At 40.8% G+C, this 23,241-nt stretch overlaps 1 pseudogene, besides 1 other annotated feature; it reads right to left on the bottom strand.

Moving 5' to 3' along the window:
• Positions 9,823–9,882: an enhancer, noted in NCBI's record as "active region_9653". NCBI's record gives its function as "activates an Ori minimal core promoter by ATAC-STARR-seq in GM12878 lymphoblastoid cells {active_cell/tissue: GM12878}" and the evidence as "EXISTENCE:reporter gene assay evidence [ECO:0000049][PMID:35858748]".
• Positions 18,440–20,067, bottom strand: LOC390600 (cytokine induced apoptosis inhibitor 1 pseudogene; annotated as a pseudogene).

The raw sequence follows: 23,241 nt of genomic DNA, 5'->3' as shown, positions 1-23,241 counted from the left end.
AAGCCACTCTATTGTCCCTCACAATTAATAAATATTTATGGGGAAATCATTTTAGAGCACGTAAATGTCTTGCTCGTCGTGAAACTTTCTATTTGTTTACCTATTTATATCAGTATGGACTCATGGTCCATACTCTTCCATCCTATTTAATTCAATGGTCATAATCTATTACTATTCACTATGTATTTTGATGCTTAAATTGTCCCTGATTTGGCTAGTAAGAGTCCTTTCAAGCTGGTTTCTCTGTCCTTTTCACATATCCTCATCATTCTTTAGCACTTTCTGGCTTTCAGGCACAACAATATGTCCCAGGCTTCCCTTGGACTCTTCACTGTTGGGGGGTTCCTTCTCCCAGGCCCTTTCAGTAGACAGGGCAAGTGTCTATATAATACAATTATATGCATATATATTATGTGTGTACACACAAAATATGTATGTATGCATATATGTGTATGTGGTGTGTATATATATGCATACACACATACATATATTTCTATCTATATTTATTTCTATCTCTATCTATGTAAATTGAGAACTATTAGCTTACACCAATACCTTCAGTTCCAGTCCAGCATCTCAGGGCTCATTCTAGTTTAATCCCTTTCCAGGTTTGTGCTCTCTTCTCTGACAGTGAGAAACCTGGCTCCAATCATCCTTAATATGTCTAGCTATTCAGTATGGAACCAGTTTGACATCACTGCCACCCACTCCTCCCTCATGCAAAACTCATGTCCAGGTTCAACAACTCCCCTCAGACCAGCCTCCTGTATGAACACCCTCCTCACTCTGCTCGGGCTCCAACACCCAATGCTGGGCTGGCCTTCGACATGGAGGCCCTCCTTTCCCCTGCTGAGGCTCTGAAACCTCACCCAGGGCCTCCCCAGCTCCCATGTGAATGCCGGTCCTCACCTGGCTCAGGCTCTGACACCCGTGACAGCTCTTGCCCCTCACCCTGGGTATCCTCTTCACCCTGCTTGGGATCCCCACGCCCCGGATGGGCTCCCCCTTGTGAATGTGCTTCTCACCTGGCTCTGGTCTGGCTCTCACCCTCCCCTTGCTGCATGGACACCTTCCCACCCTGTGCTGGGCAGCTGTCTTCATGTTGTTCCAGCTCTGACACGCCAAACCGCCCCCGCATGGACACTCTCCTCACACTATCAGACAGAGAGATTAAAGCAGATCATCTTGTTCCGCCAATGCTGCTCTACATCCAGTTTGCCTAAGGCATCACCTGTTCAGGGGGCTCAAGTGAAGGGCCTGGGTTTTACGAGGGTCTTTCATCCATGATGAATTCTGAACTTCAATATTTGTCTCCTCATAAATATGAAACTGCCAAAATCGCTGCTTAGCTTTTTAGCCCCTTTGCACCTTTCTCTTCATGTTTATTTTATTTTATTTTATTTTATTTTATTTTGGAATCTTATAAGCTCAACTTTGGTGTCAGCAAATGCCTTAAAAGGAGATTATAAATAGAATTTCAGGCTCACTTCTTTGTAGTTTCCTTTTTTCTGGGATCTTGACCCCTTAAATCCTAGCTGTCTAGGTAGCACTGAACTGCAATTTTTGTCTCCCGGGCCCAGTAAGCTTGCTGAAGGTTCTGGGCTGCTGCTTTCTATTCAGCTTCCACCGCCAGAACTGTGAATTTGCAAACACCCCAAGGGGAAAAGCTACTGAGAATGCATTTAGAAAACAACTCAATTCACTTCTCTTTGCTTCAGGATATTGGTCCTTCAAGTCCTAGCTATCCTGCTTCTTCTCTAGTGCTTTCAAACAGCTTTCATAAAATAGCTTTTTAAATCTAGTTTTCATAGTGGTTCTCAGTAGGAGAGAAAATATGGTACCAACTACTCTGTCACACCTAGAAGCAGAAATCTACATTTGAGTTTTGTTTTTGTGTTTTTTGCTGAAAGTTTCTTTGAGTTGGGAAGTCAATAGATTCACTGCCTGGTTTCCCGAGTAGGATTAGAGTGTATGTAGACAACCATCCTTCTAGAATAATTGTCTATTTTGGTGCTAGAAGAAATTAGGTATATTTTGTTCCTCTCTAAAAGGGGCTAACGTGAAACCAGCCATCTTTATAGGGTTATCTGTACCTTGAATGACTCGGATATGAACAGAAACTGTTTCTCTTAATAGAAGCCCATTTCTTCCTTTTATCAAGTCTATATTATAAAACAAAGAAACTTTCAGCAAAGGTTACAAAAATTGGAGCGTATTTAAAATTTTTACATATAATAAATGTGACCTTCTTTAAAATACAAAACAGGTACATTTTTATTTTATTATGTACTCTAAGATAATCGTAGATTTATTAGAGTATTAATTTACACTACACTATCAGCACTGATGTCCAATAAAGTTTAAAGTTATAAGAACATCTTTCTCTTCCACTCATCAGTGTACCTTATGAAGTCAGATATCATGTCATTTGGATACAACATTCACATGTGATTCTCTGAAATGTGCATCCCTGACCATGACAGACCGTACCTGGGAGAATTGTTCCAAAGAAACAAGAGTTAGAAGAAAACCCTGATTATGGACTTGCCCCTAGGCCTAAAGTTGGGAGGAAAATAATTAAGGTATAAAAAAATTTATAGCTTTAAAGGTGTATCACTGGGTTGTCTTCACACTAGAATGCATGTAGGTAACTAATTTAACAGACATGTGTCACTGTGAGATATCCCAACTGTTGCAGGGCCCTGTGGCCCAGTGGGGAGGGTATGCATTCTGGGTAGGACCAGGGTCTACGTCCCAGCCCCACCTACCATTCACTAATTGTGTGACCTCACAGAGGTTGTTTAATGTATGTGAGTTTGTTTCCCCAAAAGTTAAGATAAATTATAATATTAATAATATCCACCTTACAGGCAGGGCATGGTGGCTTATACCTGTAATCCCAGCACTTTGGGAGGTCAAGGTGGGTGGATTGCTTGAGCCCAGGAGTTGGAGACCAGCCTGGGAAATATGGCGAAACCCCATCTCTACTAAATATATAAAAATTAGCCAGGAGTGTGGTGCATGCCTGTAGTCCCAGCTACTTACTTGGGAGGCTAAGGTGGGAGGATGGCTTGAGCCCAGGAGGCGGAGGCTGCTGTGAGCTGAGATCACACCACTGCACTCCAGCCTGGGCGACAGAGTGAGACTCTGTCTCAAAAAAAGAAAAATCTAACTTACAGAGTTGCGAGAATTAAATGAGACAATGGTGCATGAAAGCACCTGGCAAATAGTATTTCCTCTTTTAGTGACTATTTTCAAAGATGGTTTAAGATATGGTTAGTGATTACTAAAACTATGTGAACACAACAGCTGGAGTGTCACTTTTACATACAGAGTACTTTCCACATAGAGAATATTTTTCCACAATAGCTGGCAATTAATTTCATTCATTAGTCTAGTTGGGTGAGAATGGCTGTATGTAACATACATATATTAAAAGTGTTCATGAACATGAAATAATAAAGATCTAGAAGAATCTGTAGGATTATCCTGGTTGGATCTCTTTGTCTCATAGATAAGGAAACCGGGCCCAGGGGGCGAAAGGCATTTCCCTGGGTATCCTCCTCGGTTATTAGCAGAGCCAAGACTGGTTTGTGGGGGTCCAGACTCTTCACTCCCCTCTCCTCCCATGTGTCCACACGGATCATGTTTTTTTGGAAGCCTACATTCATAACTGGCACTTTTTCTCTTCTGTCTCATTGTAATGGCCAAAGCAGGTCACATGGCCAGCCCAGATTCGAGGCTGGGGAAGTGGACTCCACCTCCCAATAGGAGGACCTGCAAAGCCACATTGCAACAGATATGGCTATAGGACAGGGTGAAGACTCTAGAATATTTTTGCAATTAATCTACCACAAATGGCCAATGTCTTCCACAACCTGATCTTTTCTCCAGGCAAAGTAGCAGTGGGCCCCATACACACTTTTTCAAGTGCAAGTATTATGTTTGTCTTTTGGCATTCTAGAGGTCTCCTCCCTAAACTCTGGGGAAGCCTTGGAAAGGTCCATAAGTATCTGCTGAGTGCCTATTGTGAGCTCAGCACCAGTGTGAGGCTGAGGAGAGTACAGAGGCATGAATCTGTAGGAATCAGTAAGCTGTCCCTGCAGGCTCGCAAGTGAGATAAGATACACATGGGAACAATCAGGAGACGTGAATGGCAGTGAACCACAAGTGACCCCAACATGGGCAGAGGAAGATGAGAGCAGCCTGCCAACAGTCAGGACAGCAGAGGTGCCTTGAAGGCAATGAAATGTACACTAGGCAGTGAAAGAGGACTTAAGTAGCCAGGTGGAGTTTGGGGAGAATGTCTTAGCTGAGGGAAATTGCATGAGCCTGGGTTGCTGCGGGGAGGTAGATGGCATTCAAGGTGGAAAGATGAGGTTAGTCCAGATAATAGAAACCTTCCATTAAGGATGGCTGGGACACAATGAGGTGGCTGGGGCTACACCTGGTCTTCGAGGCAGGGGCATGGAAAAGAAGGACAAATCTGGCGGTATCTGTGAGGCAGAGCTGGGGCAACTTCAGGAGCGGAGACAACAGAGAGAAGTCTTCTTTACCAACCCAGGTAGTTGGGTGAGAATGACTATATGTAACATACGTATATTAAAAGTGTTCATGAAAATGAAATAATAAAGATCTAGAAGAATCTGTAGGATTATCCTGGTTGGATCTCTTTGTCTCATAGATAAGGAAACCGGGCCCAGGGGGTGAAAGGCATTTCCCTGGATATCCTCCTCAGTTATTGGCAGAGCCAAGACTGGTTTGTGGGGGTCCAGACTCTTCACTCCCCTCTCCTCCCATGCATCCACACAGATCATGTCTATTTGGAAGCCTACATTAAAAACTGGCAAAGAGTTTAGGTTAAGAAGGTCTGGGCAGTGGGAACCTAACGGGAAAATGCAAAGTCTGGTTTGAAGGAAGGATAGACAGGATTTGGAACTTTTATGTCCCTAGCATTCAGACCCTAGTGGCAAACTGTATTATAAGGTAATTCAGTGTTTCATGATTCTGACATATACATACAAAGCTTGAAGGTTCTCTTTTCTTTTCACTGTTATCTCCACTCTCTTATCCTAAATGCAAAAATATTAGTTGCTTGCTAGGTAAATAGAATTTTTCAGCTTATTTTTCCATTCTTGAAAATATTCCAGAACAAATGCAAATCAAAAGTACGTATTTGGAAAGTTCACCTTTGAAAATGTGGTACTTAATACTGCTCACTTGCAACACGTAAAGCCAATTCTATTAGGCCCAGTATTTTTATTTCAGACTGGAACTGTCCCACATGTAAGCCACTACTGAGTACTTGAAATGTGGCCAGTCCCAATTGAGATTTGCTGAAAGCGTAATATATACACTGGATTTCAAAGACTTAGTACAATAAAAGAATATAAAATATCTCTTTAATCATTTTATACTGATTAGTTATTGAAATGATAGTATTTTGGATATATTGAGTAAAATATAAATATTAAAATTAATTTTACCTATTTTCTTTTTACTTGTTTTAATGTGACTACTAGAAAACGTAAAATTATATATGGGCTGACATTTGTGGCTCACATTATATTTCTGTTGGACAGTGATATTTTAAAAGCACATTATGAGCTGGGTGTGGTAGCTCACACCTGTAATCCCAGCACTTTGGGAGGCCGAGGCAAGTGGATCACTTGAGGTCAGGAGTTCGAGACCAGCCTGGCCAACATGGCGAAACCCCATCTCTACTAAAAATACAAAAATTAGCCGGTAGTGGTGGTGCATGCCTGTAATCCCAGCTACTCGGGAGGCTGAGGCAGGAGAATTGCTTGAACCCAGGAAGCAGAGGTTGCAGTGAGCTGAGATTGCGCCACTGCACTCCAGTCTGGGTGACTGAGACTATGTCTCAAAAAAAAAAAAAAGCACATTATGTCTAGAAATATTATGTTATGGAGATGCCCATGTTGCAATTAATGACATTAACAGGTAGAAAGGTTTCTCATGCCCAATTAAATGAAAAATTGTTCCATACATTTCTATTTTCTTCCAGGCTGAATCTGTGATTTAGTGATAAATCATACAAATATCTTGGAGCACATGTTATATTATCTGCTTTCAAGGATAGCCATTTATATGATTATGGTTTCTTTTCCCATGGGGGGGAATACGAAAGAAAATTGCAATAAAAATTTCCATTTATTAAAATGTTTTAATAATAAATATTTTAGATTATCGCTAATACATGATAAATCAATGTGCCTGCATCATTTTTGCATTCATTTATAAAATCTGAGTACAGCTAGCAGTAGGCCCTCACTGAACAGGTGTGTTTTGTTGTTGCAATTGTTTAATTAGGTCCCTCAAGTGTTTTTCATCTACAGCAGTCCCCTTGCTACTGCTACTGCTTCTTTTCATGATATTGGCTTTTTGAAGATTTCAGGTCAATTGCCTTGTTAAATATTCTGCATGGTGTTCTTTAAATTGTCCCACTATTCCCTGAATTCCTGAAAGGTAGAGACCCGGTCTAGAGGAGCTTGCTTACACTCAGGCCACACATTTTAGTAAAAATGCTTTGTAGGTGATGTTGTATGCTTAATATTACATCATGTTAGGAAGCATACATATCAAGTTTTTCTATGATTCATGATGTTGAGTTTGATTACTTGCTTAAGGTGGTAATTGCCAGATTTCTTCATTGCAAATGTATGTTTCCATTTGCAGTTAACGAATAATCTGCATGATTCAAATAATCATGTGAATATTTGGTTCTCTAGTAATTGTTCACCTAATGGCTGTAACATCCATTGCCAATCCCAGCAATTGGGATGGGATTGCCATCCAAACCAAGCTGGAACCAAAATTATTTCATTAGAAGTTGTAAAACGGTGACTTTAAAATTCTATCATTCCTTTTACATCTATTAGCTACTAGCACTTTTCCATAAAGAATTGCCTTTTTCTCTCTTTCTATTACCATGAATTCATGAATTGTTTTTTTTTGTTTTGTTTCGTTTTTTGTTTTTGTTTTTTTGTTTTTTGAGACGGAGTCTTGCTCTTTCGCCCAGGCCGGAGTGCAGTGGCGCTGTCTTGGCTCACTGCAAGCTCCACCTCCCGGGTTCATGCCATTCTCCTGCCTCAGCCTCCCGACTAGCTGGGACTACAGGCGCCAGCCACTGCGCCCGGCTAATTTTTTGTATTTTTAGTAGAGACGGGGTTTCACCGTGTTAGCCAAGATGGTCTCGATCTCCTGACCTCGTGATCCGCCCGCCTCGGCCTCCCAAAGTGCTGGGATTACAGGCGTGAGCCACCGCGCCCGGCCTCATGAATTGTTACTTGCGGTATTTACAAATAATTATGGTCATTATTCATTTTGATGCTCAAATTTTCCCAAATTTGACCAGTGTCATTTAGACATGCTTGCCATTCTTTGAGCACTTCCTTGCTTTCTTGTACAGTGAAATATCCCAGGCTCACCTTGTACTTCCTGTGCCCCATATTGGGCCCCCTTTAGTGAAGAAAGCTGTTTAGAAGCCAAGATCTGGGCACAAGGTGTGCTTGGTGCTACTTGGGTCTCTCAATGAACATTTTTTCATTGAGATATAATTCACATATAAAATTCATCCTAACATGTACAATTCAAAATGCAAATCAAAACTGCAATGAGATATCATTTTATACTCATTAGGATGGCTATTATAAACAACAACACTAGAAAATTAGTGTTGATGAGGATGTGGAGAAATTGGAACCCTTGTGCACCGTTGGTGGGAAAGTAAAATGGTATACACGGTATGGAAAACAGTGTGGCAGTTCCCTAAAACATTAAAAATAAAATCACCATATGATCCAGCAATGCCACTTCTGGGTACATATCCAAAAGAACTGAAAGCAAAGACTTGAACAGATATTTGTACATCGATGTTCATAGCAGCATTATTCACAATAGTCAAAAGGTGAAAGCTCAGGAGATCAAGACCATACTGGCTAACACGGTGAAACCCCGTCTCTACTAAAAATACAAAAAATTAGCCGGGCATGGTGGTGGGCGCCTGTAGTCCCAGCTACTCGGGAGACAGGCAGGAGAATGGCATGAACCCGGGAGGCGGAGCTTTCAGAGAACCGAGATCACGCCACTGCACTCCAGCCTAGGCGACAGAGCGAGACTCTGTCTCAAAAAAAAAAAAAAAAAAGAGTGAAAGCAACCCAAGTATCCATGATGGATGAATGGCTAAACGAAGTGTGGCATAAGTGTATAATGGAATATTATTCAGCCTTAAAAAGGAAGAAAATTCTAACACATGCCACAACATGAATGAACCTTGTAGACATTATGCTAAGTGAAATAAGCAAGTCACAAAAGGGTAAATACTGTATGAATCCACTCATCTGAGGTGCCTAGAATAATAAATTCATACAGAAAGTAGAATGCTGGTTGCCACGGGATGCAGGTGGAGGGAGGTAGGGAGTTATTGTTTAATGGGCACAAAGTTTCAGTTTGGGAAGATGAAAAGCTTCTGCAGGTGGCTGGTTATGATGTTTGCATAACAATGTGAATGTACTTAACACCACTGAACTGTACACTTGAAATGGTTAATATTTTAATGGTTAATGGTAAGTTTTAATTATGTATATTTTACCACAATTTTTTAAATGTTGTTCAGTTCACGGAGTTGTATAACCATCATCACTATCTAATTTGAGAACATTTTTATCCCCCCGCCCCCACAAGAAACCCAAGCCCATTAGCAACCACTCCCTGTTTCCTCCCACCCCGAGCCCTAGGCAACCACAAATCTTTCTGTCTCGCAGATTTGCCTATTCTTGACATTTCATATAAATGAAATAAAATATGTGGCTCTGTGTCTTTCTCTTAGCATAATGCTTTCAAGGGTCATCTATGTCATTGCATGTATCAGTACTTCATATTTTTCCATGGCCAAATAGTATTTAATTGTCTAGATATACCACATTTTGTTTGTTAATTCATTAGTTGGTGGATATGCGGGTTAGTTCCCATGTTTGAACTATTATGCATAACGCTGCTGTGAACATTAGTGTACAAATTTTTGTGTGAACACGTTTACAATTTTTTTGTAAACATGAAAATGGATATACCTAGGAATAGAATCACTGGGTTATAATGATAACTCTAGGTTTAACTTTTTGAGGAACTGCCAAGTTGTTTTCCACAGTGGCTGCATATTTTACATTCCCTCCAATATATGAGGGTTTCAAGTGAAAACTTTCTAATGCTGTTCTTTTCTAAACTTCTAAAAGATTTGTATAACTTTCTTTAAATAATACAGCTTCTGTCTTGTATTGTTTTGCAAACGTATAATAAAATATACTGGGAATGACATACACATTTAAAAAAAACTATTTTACTTATAAACTATGTATAGTCCAAGCTCTGCTATCTATAATCCAGATCCTTTTCCTACTCAACCTGTGGCCTTCTGACTCCCTGGCTGACTGACAGGTAGGGTGGGATGATTTCCAGCTTGACCTGGCGTGTTGTTTGGGATAGACAGGCAGCGCTCAGCATCCTTCCCGCCCCTCCTCCGCAATGCAGAGCAACGGGAACTACACTTCCCAGTATGCCCCCTTCCAGCTGGAGTTTGCCTTGGGAGGAACTTGAGGGACATTTGGAAGGGAGAAGGGAAGGGGATCTGTTATTCTCTTGAGGGGGTGACAGCCAGATGCTGAACAGATGTGAGAGTCGCTGAGGCGCCCCAGCGAGCTCTCAGGAGCCGCCCGCGTCAGGCTGACACCTTCATCTCCGCTGCCACCGTGGCAGCAGCTGCTCCCACGCCGCTCTCTGGACCTGCCAGCCGCCCTATGAGCCTAGCGCGGTGTGCACGGAGCCCACCACAGCCGCAGCGCAGAGCCGCCTGTCCTCCTGAGCAGCCCCGAAACACACACACGTGTGTGTGTGTATGTGTGTGGGGGGTAGAGGGGGTGTGGAGGCAGTATTTAAATACAATGAAGGAGAACAAAACTGAAGCGTGTCTTACAGGCCAACTGTGCCGGGAAGTTTCTATTTCCGAACTGAACGAGTTCAGCCTTGCTATCCTTAAGTTATCGTGAGCACACACACACACACACACAAAAGCATTAAAAAAAGAAAAACGTGGTATTAAAAACCCCTTGTAAACACCATTTAATGGTAGAATAATAATCCATCAAACGGATGTCTCATAATTTAAGAATTAGTCCCTTAATGTTGGCATTTAGACTATTTTTCTTGTTTTGATTTATGAATAATCCTGAAAACAGTATTTTTATTATTTCTTTTAGACGGATTCCAAAATGTGGTTATTTCTCGTTCAAAATATATAATCATATTAAAGATTATCACTACACATCCCTAGATTGGCTTTCAGAAATCTAACAATTACACCCCTCCATGTATTGAACATACATTCATCTGGCCACGCCACAGCTGCCATCGAATGCTATCATTTAACAATAATTTTGCTACTTTGATAGATTTAATTTGGGTGTAAAAATTCAGGTTTACTTTTTATTCACCTGCTGATTAGCCATCTGTGTTCTCCCTCGTCTGTTCTTCCTTAACTCCTTTCCCTTTTTCTTCTTGTCTTTTTTCTTTCCCTCCTGCCATTCCTTCTTTCCTACCTTCCCCCCTCCCTTCTTTCTATCCTTTTTTCCTTTCTAGAATTTACATCCTTTAGTTACAAATCTGTTGAATGTCCTTATGTTTTTGTAGATTCCCCCAACTTCCTGTTGCATTTAATTGCTTCCATTTCATTATGTATTGGGGTATTCTCATGCAGCAAAAATTTACTTGTTTAGAGTTCCTAACATTACTTTTAACTGTTGAAAGTTTCTTTGCAACTCAGAAAGCAGATAAATGTTAACCCCTGTTTTCTATTATTTGACAATTTAAAATTTATGGCTTGATTTTATACATTACCTCTTTGACTTATCTAAGCAGTTTTTGTATATATTAAAAGAAGATCTAACTTAAGTTTTCCCCAAAATAACTAATTGCTGGAGTGCAATTTGGACAAATCCTACAATCTTCATGTAATTATATTTTTAGATGCTCAGTGTGGCTCTTTTTAATAACTAAGACATACTGGTTGAAATAGTTCAAAACCTCAGAAATACATAATGTGGGAATCCTGTTCCCTAGAGATAACCACTGCTGAGGATTTAGTACGTTTTAAAGTTTTTAGCTTTTTAAATTGAGATATAGTTAGCTTTTTAAATTGAGATATAGTTTAAATCAATATGCATAGATTTTAAATGTACAATTTGATTAGTTCTGTCAAATATATACCACCACCCAATCAAGATATAAAACATGGCCAGGCACGGTGGCTCACGCCTGTAATCCCAGCACTTTGGGAGGCCAAGGTGGGTGGCTCACTTGAGGTCAGGAGTTTGAGACCAGCCTGGTCAACATGGTGAAACCCCATCTCTACTAAAAACATGAAAATTAGCTGGGTGTGGTGGTGGGAGCCTGTAATCCCAGCTACTGAGGAAGCTGAGGCAGGAGAATCGCTTGAACCTGGGAGGCATAGGTTGCAGTGAGTTTAGATCACGCCACTTCACTCCAGCCAGGGCAACAGAGAAAGACTCTGTCAAAAAAAAAAAAATATATATAAAATATTTCTGCACCCAGAAATTTTCCCACAATGCTTTTCAGTCAATCTCCATTCCCCCAAAGCAACAACTATTCTATTCTAATTTCAATCACTATAGTTTAGCTTTGACTGTCCTTGAATTTCATATCAATGGAATCATAAGTATAAACTCACCTGTGTCTGACTTCTTTCATGCAACATAACACTTTTGAGATTCATCCATGTTGTTCTGTGTGTTAGCAGCTCATTCCTATTTATTGCTGAATAGTATTCACATTGTATTGACAAACCACAATTTATCCATTTGCTTATTAATGGACATTTGGGTTCTTTCTAGTTTGGGGGTATGTTGAATAAAACTGCTAAGAACACACAGGTCCTTTTGTGGATGTGTCTAGAAGCAAAAGTTTGTTACACCTAAGTTAGGTGTAACTTTAACTTTATAAGAAACAGACACACAATTTTCCAAAGTGGGACAGGTGCTCCCTTTCCTCACACACACTTGGTATTATTTTGTGTGTGTGTGTGTGTGTGTGTGTGTGTGTGTGTGTGATGATAATAGTTAACAAAATTTTGGCATAATCACATATTTAGAGAAAGTTGCAAGAACAAAACAAAGAACTTTTTTTTCTGAACATTTTAGAATAAATTGCCAACCTGATGCTCCATTCCCCCTAATTCTTTAGTGTGCATTTTATACTAACAAAGACATTCTCCTACTTAACCACATACAACCATCAAATTAGGAAATTATTGGTGCATACAACCATCTAATTCTCAGACCCTATTCAAGCTTTTTTAAAATTTAAATTTTATTTTATTTTATTTGTAGAGACAGGATCTTGGCATGTTGCCGAGGCTGGCCTCAAACTTCTGGGCTCAAGTGATCCTCTTGCCTCAGCCTCCCAAAGTGCTGGGATTACAGGCATGAGCCACCGTGCTCAGCCTCAAACTTTAACAATTATCCCAATAATATTCTTTCTAGTAAAAGGATGATTCAAAAATTATATGCTGCATTTAGTTGTCAAATTTCTTTAGTCTCCACCAAGCTGGAACTGTTCTCAGGTTTCCTTGACTTTCATGACCTTGCTACTTTGGAAGTTTACAGGCCAATCGCATTGTAGAACAGCCCCAAATTTGGGTTTATCTAAAAATTTCACTTCTAGACATGTCCACAAAATTTGGGTTTATCTAATGTTTCTTCATAATTACATTCAGATTATGCAGCTTTGGCAAGGTTATCATAGAAGGCACATCACTTTCATTTGCCCCTTTACTGATGATGTTCACTGATCACTGAATAAGGTGGTGTTTGCAAGTCTTCTCCGCTAAAAAATTATTGTTTTCCCCTTGTAAGTAATACTTTTGCAGAGGTACTCTCAGATTAGTTAACAAGTTGCTTCCCAGACAGATTTTTAATTTGTTCATTTATTAATTTATATCTGCATAAACTTGTGGTTTCCTATATTCTTCGGTGGGTCATAATCTATCATTTATTTTAATACTCAAATGGTACTAAATGTGGCTCTCCAAACTGGCTTTTGTGTCCTTTTGACACACATGTTCTTATCATTCTTGGAACAACCTATTCCTCTCTGGAACAAAAATATCCAGAATCCCCTGTATTTTTTCTGTCCATCCCTGGAATCAGCCATTTCTCCAAGGAAGCCTAGTTTCTTTTAGTGAAAAATTGTATCTAGAAACCAAAATTTAGGTACTTGGTGTGCTCAATGTTATGGCATGTTACTGCTTCCAGGGCCTCTCTCAGAACAGAGCTGGAGAATATGTGGATGGATACACACACATACAGACACACAAACATATACATTTACATCTGTATTTATTTCTGTACCTATGTGTATTGAAAACCATGAGTGTACACCAATATTTGTTCTTCTTTTATTTTTATTTTTAGTAGAGACAGGGTTTTGCCATGTTGCCCAGGCTGGTCTCGAATTCCTGAGCTCAAGCGATCCGCCCACCTCAGCCTCCCAAAGTGCTGGGATTACAGGCATGAGCCACCATGCCCAGCGTATGCCAATACTTCTAAATCCAATCCCCCTTTCTGCATCCAATAGCCCCTTTCTCTGACATGTGCTGTCCTTATTATATTCACTTATTTGGTCAATGTGCTAAGTGCATCCAATCTTCCATGTTCATTGCCATCCCCTCCCCAGCGTGGTAACCTCTTCATCATGTTCACTCTCTGACACTCCATTCTAGGTCATCCCTCTGCCAGTGTGCCCTCTTCACCTCACCTCTTGAAATCTTCACCTTGTAATCTTCTTTGAGCCTCCCTCCAGTAGATGCCCTCCTGATTCCACTTAGGCTCTGACTCCCCATGCTGGGCCACCTTCACAGTAACACCTCTCTTACCCGGCTGAGGCTCTAACTCCCCAGGTTGGGCTACCTCCTCTATGGACTCTGCTCTCCTAGCTCAGGCTGTGATATCCAACACTGGATATTTGTCTTACCCTGGGGCTCCTATTCCAATATGCCATGCTGAACTGTCCCTGGACATGACCACCTCTCTCTCTCTCTCTGCTGGAGCTCTGAATTCCTCCATGCCAGGCTTCCTCCTCCATGATTAGCCTTCTCCCCCTACCTGGGCTCTGACCATGCCAGGACTTCCCACTGTGGGGATGCTTTACTCACCCTTCTCAGGCTCTGATATACTGTTCTAACCCATTGCAGCTGCCTCCCCCTACCCTCACCAAATCCCCATCACGTGGCATGTTCTTACTAGGCATTTATACATCTTCCTTTGTCAAAAGTCTGATTGGGTTTTTGCCCACTTATAAAGTTGTTTTTCTTGTTGATTGGTTTGTAGGAGTTCATCTATTCTGGATCCAAGTCCTTTTTCAATAAATGCATTGAGAATGTTTTCAACCACACTGTGGCCTGCCTTTTATTTTCTTAATGGTATTGAGCAGGAATTTTTACTTTTTACAAAGTCCAATGTATACGTTTTTAATTTTATGGCTAGTGCACTTTTTTGTGTGTCCTGTCTGAAACACTTACCTACCCTAAATTCAGAAATGTATTCCCCTATTTTAAAAAAAAATTGTGTATGCTATGGGACAGAGGTCAAGGTTATTTTTTCCTACAGATTTCCAGTTTTCCAACACCATTTATTGAAAAATATATTCATTTCCTGATGAACGACCTTGGGTCTTTTGTCAAAAATCAATTACCAGCTGAACATGGTGGCTCACACCTGTATTCCCAGCATGTTGGGAGGCCAAGGGGAAAGGATTGCTTGAGATCAGGAGTTCAAGACCAGCCTGAGCAACATAGTGAGACTCTGTCTCTACAAAAATTTAAAAATTAGCCAGGTGTGGTGGTGTGCACTTGTAGTCCTAGCTACTCAGGAGGCTGAGGTGGGATGATCACTTGAGCCCATGAGATAGAGGCTGCAGTGAGCTAAAATTGTGCCACTGCACTCCAGCCTGAGAGAGAGCAAGGCCCCATCTCTAAAAAATAAACAAGTAAATAAATTACCATATATTGGAGATTCATTTCTGGACTCTCTATTCTGTTCCATTGATCTGTAGTCTATCAATACACCAATATCCCATGGTACTTGGTTACTATAACATTTATAATCAGGTGGTATAAGCTCTCCAACTCTGTTCTTCTTTTTCAAGATTGTTTTTCCTAGGTCTTTGAATTTTCTATACCTAACTTATGTGTATTGAAAACCATGAATCTACACCAATTCTTTATTTTTATTTTTAGTAAAGACAGGGTTTCCCAGCCTATTGCCCAGACTGGTCTGGAACTCCTGGGCTCAAGCAATCTGCCCGCCTCGGGCCCCCAAAGTGCTGGGATTACAGGTGTGAACCACCGCGCCCAGTCTATGCCAATACTTCTCATTCCAATCCAATGCCATATAAATATAAATTTCACACTCAGCTTCATTTGTTACAAAAAAAAAGGGCTGCTTAGTATTTTGATCAGGATTATGTTGAATCTATATATCAAATTGGGGAAAATTATTACCCTAATAATACTAAATTTCTATTCTATGAACATTATATATTGCCATTCATTTAGGTATTTGCTAAATTTTCTTACAATGTTTTATAGTTTGGAGTATAAATGTCTTGAAGATATTTTATCAAATGTATTCCCAAATATTTTATATTTTTGAATACTATCTAAGTGGCATTTTTAAAGTTTATATTTCAATTGTTTGTTGGTAGCAGATAAAAATACAGTTGACTGTATATTGACTTTGTATTACACAATATTCTTAAATTCACTTTTCAGTTTTAGTATTTTTTCATAGATTTTTAAAGATTTTAAATGTAAATAATCATGACTGCCATAAAGACAGTCTTGCTTCATTCTTTTTCAATCTGCACACCTATTTCTTTTTCCTGTCTTATCACACTGGCTAGGATTTTCAATATAATGTCAAACAGAAGTGGTGATAATGCATATTCTTACCTTTTCCTCATTTTAGGGAGGTATCATTCTGGCTCTGTCACCCATGCTGCAGTACGGTGGCACAATCTCAGCTCACTGCAATCTCTACCTCCTAGTCTCAAGCAATCCTCCCACCTCAGCCTCCCACCACTTGGCTAATTTTTTGAACTTTTTGTAGAGACAGGGTCTCACTATGTTGCCCAAGATGGTATATTTTATTTTCTACCTATGTTATAAACCCTGCAAATATATTATGATTGTTGTTTTAATAGTGAATGGTCTGCCAGGCATGGTGGCTCACACCTGTAATCCCAGCATTTTGGGATGCTGAGGCAGATAAATCACCTGAGGTCGGGAGTTCGAGACCAGCCTGGACAACATGGTGAAAACCCGTCTCTACTAAAAACACAAAAATTAGCCCGGCATGGTGGCAGCTGCCTATAATCCCAGCTACTAGGGAGGCTGAGGCAGGAGAACTGCTTGAACCCAGCAGGTGGAGGTTACAGTGAACCAAGATCACACTACTGCACTCCAGCCTGGGTGGCAGAGCGAGACTCCATCTCAAAAAAAAAAAGGGTGGATGGCCTTCTTTCATATTTACTGGGCATGATGACATGGGATCATTTTCTCTGACCTGATAAATTACTTTAGGATTTTTTCTCATGTTAGTCTACTAGGTGTGCAACTTCACAGTCCTTATTTGTCTGAGGACGTTTTTTTCACTTTCATATTTGAAGTATTTTTTGGTGGAGGGTAACAGAATTCTAGGTTGACAGGGTTTTTGTTTAGCTTTGTATTTCTTTCAGCATTTTAAAGATGTTATTGTCTTCTGCTGTCCATAGGTTTTTGTTAAGAGATCAGTTATCTTTATTGTTGTTCCCCAAGAGAAATTATATCATTTTTTTTTCTGGCTGCCTTTTTTTTTTTTTAAGAGTCTCGCTCTATTGCCCAGGCTGGAGTGCAGTGGCACAATTTCTGCTCACTGCAACCTCTGCCTTTCGGTTCAAGTGATTCTCCTGCCTCAGCCTCCTGAGTAGCTGGGATTACAGGCACACACCACCACGATTGGCTAATTTTTGTATTTTTAGTCGAGACGGGTTTCACCATGTTGGCCAGGCTGGTCTCGAACTCCTGACTTCAGGTGATCCACCCGTTTCGCCTCCAAAGTGCTGGGATTACGGGCGTGAGCCACCATGCCTGGCCCTGGGCTGCTTTTAAGATTTTCTTTTTGGAGCAGGTGTGGTGGCTCATGCCTGTAATCCCAGCACTTTGGGAGGCCGAAGAGGACGGGTCACTTGAGGTCTGGAGTTGGAGACCAGCCTGGCCAACATGGTGAAATCCCATCTCTACTAATAATACAAAAATTAGCTGGGTGTGGTGGCGCATGCATGTAGTCCCAGCCACTCAAGCGGCTGAAGAACAAGAATCATTTGAACCCAGGAGGTGGAGGTTGCAGTGAGCTAAGATAGTGCCACTGCACTCCAGCCTGGGCAACAGAGCAAGACTTTGTCTCAAAAAAAAGAGATTTTCTTTTTATCTTAAGTTTTCAGAAGTTTTATTGTGCTTTGCTTAGGTGTGCTTTTATTATCCTGCTTGAAGCTTTTTGTGAAGCTTTTTGAATCTGTGAACTTTATCATTTGTTAGATTAGGAAAATTCTCAGCCATTATTTTTTCAAGATTACTTATGTTCTTTCTCTTTCTCTTCTCTTTCTAAATGCTAATTGCACATACATTAGACCTTTTGCCTATGCCCCACATCTCTCTCTGTTATTTTTTATCCCCATTATGTTTTTTTCCTTCTGTGTTCCATTTGAATATTTTCTGTGACTATTTTTGAATCTAGCCTGGTGCTGTAACCATTCAAATAGTTCTTAATTTCAGACATTTCAACTTGCATTTCTAAAATGTCCATTTGATTCCTATTCATAGATTCAAATGATCGGTTAAAGTACTTTTTCATCCATGTTATCCATCTTTCCAATTTTTTAAAACATACTCATGATCATTATTTTGAAATCCTTGTCCACTAACTCTTGTATCTGAATCATCTCTGGGTCTGCTTCTTTTACTATTTTATCTCCTGATTGGTTGTTTCTTCCTTTTTCTTTTTTTGTTGCATGTTCAGTGACTTTTTTTTGTATGCTGTATATAGTGATTAATACAGTGGATGGGCTCTAGATTATATTCTTCTGAATGTTGAATCTTGTTCTAGCAGCAAGTGTCTATTTAAATTTAGCCCTCATATGACATAATTGACACATCTTTTATCTGAGAATTATAAAATTTGATCATGATCATATTGTAGCCTCTCAAAGTGCTCTAGAAATTGTCAGTGGTTTACATGAAGTGGCCATGGGTGTCCAGAGAACCCTGAAACTGTATCAAATTTGTACATATTTCCAAACATTTTTATTTTATTTATTTTCAAGATATGCAGCAAGTTTAATACCTGAAGGTTAACAGAAATGGCAACAGGACACAGATGCAATGCTACAGTAAAATGGGGCTGGGGGTAGAAGGGGGCAGAGGGACACTGGATATCATCACGCCAACCAGTGAATGACTCCTCTGGTACCCTGAGGTCATGAGACACTTGACCGTGTCACGAAGTATGGAGTAAACTAACAACTCTGAAAGACAAGTAGCTGGCAGCATTGCTGAGATTAGACTAGGGGCCAGGGCCTGGAGCTTTGTCACAGAGTGTTGATGCTCAAGGATGCCTGGGCTCAAGAGTGTTTTGGTCAGCATTTTAACATGAGGAGAAGGGCTTCTTCAGGACATACTCCCTTCTCTTAACATGAGGTGAAGAAACCCATCCCATTCTGGGTAATGGGGCCCCATAATACCTTGGTCTTTTGATATACACTACACACCACTGTGCCCCCCCCAGCCAGCTTCAATCTGTCTGCTAAGCACCCACTTTGCAAATGGATCTCAGAGAGAAGAAATCCAGAGGAGGTGGGAGGAGCACCGTGGTGGGATTTGAGGAACAGGAGTTGGCCAAAGGAGCAGATGTGTCCCATGTCGGGTCCCTCCTAGGCATGGTAAAGACTGCTATTGCTCAGAAGCACCTTTTCCCCAGGTTTGAAGGCTGGTATCCCAAGGTAGGGGCAGCTGGCACAGTGGAAACTATTGCCCAGATAGCAGTTTCCACAAGCTGACTTGGGTTGGGAGCTCATCTGCTCCCTTGACTTCTCTTTTTCCAGTTCTTCGGCAAGGCCACGGGTGCAGCTCTGGCAGGTCTTCCTCTTTTTCCCTTCCCCACAAGGAGCAGCCTGCAGGGAAGTCGGATCTGGCTTCTTCAAATCTTCTGGATCCAGCAGCTCCTCTGAGTCAATGAGATCCATGCTGTCATCCTCCATATCATTGGCTGAGAGGGTCCACAGCTTGGCAGCAGCAGGGTACCCAGCAGGCTTCACTGAAGGAGATGACTTCTTGGTGATGGAAAGCTTAAGCTGACTAGAAGAACTCACTTCAAAGTTGTTTTTTGTTTTTTTTTTTTTGCTTGTGATCTGAACAAAGAGCAGGCTGTCACTTTCATGACCCAGGTGTTCTTGAACAGACTGTACCTCCTCAGGGCTTAAGGGCTCCCATGGCAGCTCTTTCACTTCCACAAGACCGGAAGCAGTCAGGGCTGAACACAGCTTGCTGTCTTCGCTTTGCTGTTGTTATCTACAGCTGGATCTACTGGTTCTTTCAGAAAAAGACATCCACTAGGCCGAAGGATCCGGGCAATTTCAGCCAAAATCTCAGCACTCAGTAGAGTGGTGCTTCCCAGGACTAAACCCAACAAAATAATGTCAAAGCTGGATTATTTGTGGGCAGACTGCAACAGCTGGTTGTTTTCCACAGACACGCGGCCCTCATTGCCAGTTAACACTTGAAGCTTATCCACCAGATCTTTCAGAGCCTGCACTGGGGATGACTTATCCCAGACCACTGCCACAAACTGGCCAGCAGAGATCCCAAAATCTGCCATTCCTGCAGTGCAGTGCTGATGGACCTAAAAACTGCCGCCTGGGCTCGCTCCCAGCTTCTCCTCAGCCGTCGACCCCACACAAACATTTTCAAAATGAAAAGGCACTCTCGTGTTCTCCTCCCTCTGTGCACTTTGCTATTGGTGTGTGACAAGGCATCTAAAGATGTTTCTGTTTTTTTTTTTTTTTTTTTGGTAAGGTGGTATTAACTATATGGTTATTGGCTAGAAATTCTAAGTTATCAATTGTGTGTGTGTGTGTGTGTATATATATATATATATTTGTAAAAAGAACAAAACAAACGAGACGAACTCGGATGCTCCTTGCTTGGCATCGAGGCTGTGGAGAAGATGCCTTTTGGAGGGGCGATAGCTCAGAACCTGCACTGTGAGGCTGGGCCTGTTGACTCTGCAGTGGCATCCATTTAGCTTCAGGTTGTCTTGTTTCTGTATATAATGACAGCATTCTGCTGCCATCTTAGCCGTGGACAATGGGGGATCAGCTGGCATGAGAAGTTTTCTTGTTTCGTTTTGTTTTGTTTTAATTAAGTGGGGTAGTTTTTCAACTGTTTGTTTTTAAACAAACTGTAGAACTCTTCATTGTCAGCAAAGCGAAGAGCCACTGTATCAATGAAAGTTCAAGAACCTTCTGTACTTAAACACAATTTGCTGTTTTGTTATTTTTTGCTTAGAATGTTGAAATGTTTTTGAAGTTAAATAAACAGTATTACATTTAAAAAATAGATAAATAATAAATAAATAAATGTAGCCCTCACTCCTACTGTGTAACACTGGTCATTCATGGTCCATAATCCTAGGATGTGGGCTTTCTAGAGTCTCCATGAATACCTAGACATCCACGAAGGTTTACACATTCTACATTAGAATGAGCCTAACCTCTTGCATATCCACATTATTGTGCAGCCTCTGAAATCACTGTTCAGCTCTCAGCCTCCCAAAAACTATTATCTGCTAGACATTCTGAAGTCTTGCCCTGCAAATACAGATCTTAACAGTGGGCTGAATAGCTGAGGGAAATTTTAATGCAATTTTTGAGGGCTCCTTTTCTGTAGCTCCTGCCTCTAAGTGACCTTGCCCTCCAAACCCAGCTGTGTTAGAAGGCCTGAGCTCCGATCTTTGTTTCTTCTGCCCAGAGACACTGCCGCTCTCTCTTTGGGCTCCATCTCTCTGTGCTGGGATGAATGTGAGGTTGGCCACGTGCTTCCCTTTTCTGAAGGATAATAATCCAGTGACGCATGTTGTCATTTCACGTAATGTGTCTAGCTTCTATTGTTGTTTACATCAGAAAGGTGAGTCCAGTACCAGCTACTCAATCGTGACTAGAACTGGATGTTAAGAAATTTATTTTTTAAAAGGAATAAATTTAAAAAACCATTATGTTTTTCCCATCTCTAGTTGTAGTGCACAGCTACACATAAAAAGCCTCTTACCACATGCTCTAAAATTCAGATTACAAATTGTATTTTCCTGGCCAGTGCTAAGAGCCAAGAAAAGTTCTATATTTTTATAGGGTTCTGTCTTTTATTTTCATACCTTCCATAAAACACTTAATAACAGCTGGGCATGGTGGCTCACACTGGTAATCTCAGCATTTTGGGAGGCCAAGGTGGGTGGATCATCTGAGGTTAAAAGTTCGAGACCAGCCTGACCAACATGGTGAAACTCCGTCTCTACTAAAAAATGCAAAAAAATGGCCGGGCGTGGTGGCTCACGTCTCTAATTCTAGCACTTTGGGAGGCCAAGGCAGGTGGATCACCTGAGGTCAGGAGTTTGAGACCAGCCTGGCCAACATGGCAAAACCCCATCTCTACTAAAAAATACAAAAATTAGCCAGGTGTGGTGGCGGGCACCTGTAATCCCAGCTACTCAGGAGGCTGAGGCAGGAGAATCGCTTGAACCCAGGAGGCGGAGGTTGCAATGAGCCGAGATCGTGCCATTGCACTCCAGCCTGGGCGACAAGAGCAAAACTCCGTCTCAAAAAAACAAAAAACAAAAAAACCCAAAAACGATTAATAACAAGATAGAATATATTTGACCTAATCTTTGTGGACTTTTCTATTATTCATATAAGTGGAATAAAACTTTAAAATTTACATATTATTTTTTTTGAGACATTTGGCTCTTGTCGCCCAGGCTGGAGTGCAGTGGTGTGATCTCAGCTCACTGCAACCTCCAACTCCAGGGTTCAAGCGATTCTCCTGCCTCAGCCTCCCGAGTAGCTGGGATTACAGGTGTGCACCACCATGCCTAGCTAATTTTTATATTTTTAGTCGAGACAGTGTTTCACCATGTTGGCCAGGCTGGTCTTGAACTCCTGACCTCAGGTGATCTGCCTGCCTCAGCCAAGTGCTGGGACTACAGGTGTGAGCCATGGTGCTCGGCCAATATTGATTTTCCTAATAGAACACTATAGAAATAAATATTTCTTAGGTCAAAGACAGAACATGGAAGTACAAGTGCTCTGATTTCCTTCAAAAGTGAAATAAGAGGGAAATAGATGAGTTTTGTCACCCCATTTTTTCTCGCTTTTTGATGAATACAAAATCTAAAGGAATAAAAGCTGTGCCCAAGTACCTTCACTAAAAATGGCTTGTACACAAAATTAGATCAGAGTTAGGAAGATCTGTAATTGCTATTTCTCCTACACATTGTCTTTTAAGACAATTCAATTCCTGGTTAGCCACCTAAAATAAAAGACAATTCCTGGGTAGGAGCCTAAAATACAATGTTTATAGTAGAAAAGCTTCTGTGTTATGATCATGGAAACTGGAATTTAGTTTTGTTTCCCTCATTTTGGAAAGAATAAAGAAGTTACTTAGCAATCTGTTTCCCCAATACCCTACTGTTATTTACTTGACATTGAAGATTAAAGTTATTTAAATGTTTCAAAGATACTTTTTAAAGTCTGGAGTTCACTATGTCTAAAGTATTCATTAAGTCATTAAATATATATTCAACATTTAATGTTCAAATAATGGAGGGGTAATAAAAATGAATCAAACATTTTTCTTATCTTTAAGGATTTATTGTAATTTTGTGGGAGAGGTAAATAAGCACAGCATGTGGAAGAAAGCAGCCACGTGCTATACTTTACCATGTTATGCAAGTTCAAGGAGAGGAAAGCTCTTGTTTGTGTGGGTAAAATGGATCATCAAAGGTTTCAAAGGAGGCAATGATATCAAATGTGGTCTTAAATTTTGGGTAGAATTTTGCGTGGTGGGGAAAAAAG

The sequence above is a fragment of the Homo sapiens genome, chromosome 15 (assembly GCF_000001405.40).
Source record: "Homo sapiens chromosome 15, GRCh38.p14 Primary Assembly".
NCBI classification, from domain to species: Eukaryota; Metazoa; Chordata; class Mammalia; order Primates; family Hominidae; genus Homo; species Homo sapiens.
This window is presented reverse-complemented; position numbering and strand designations above follow the sequence as displayed.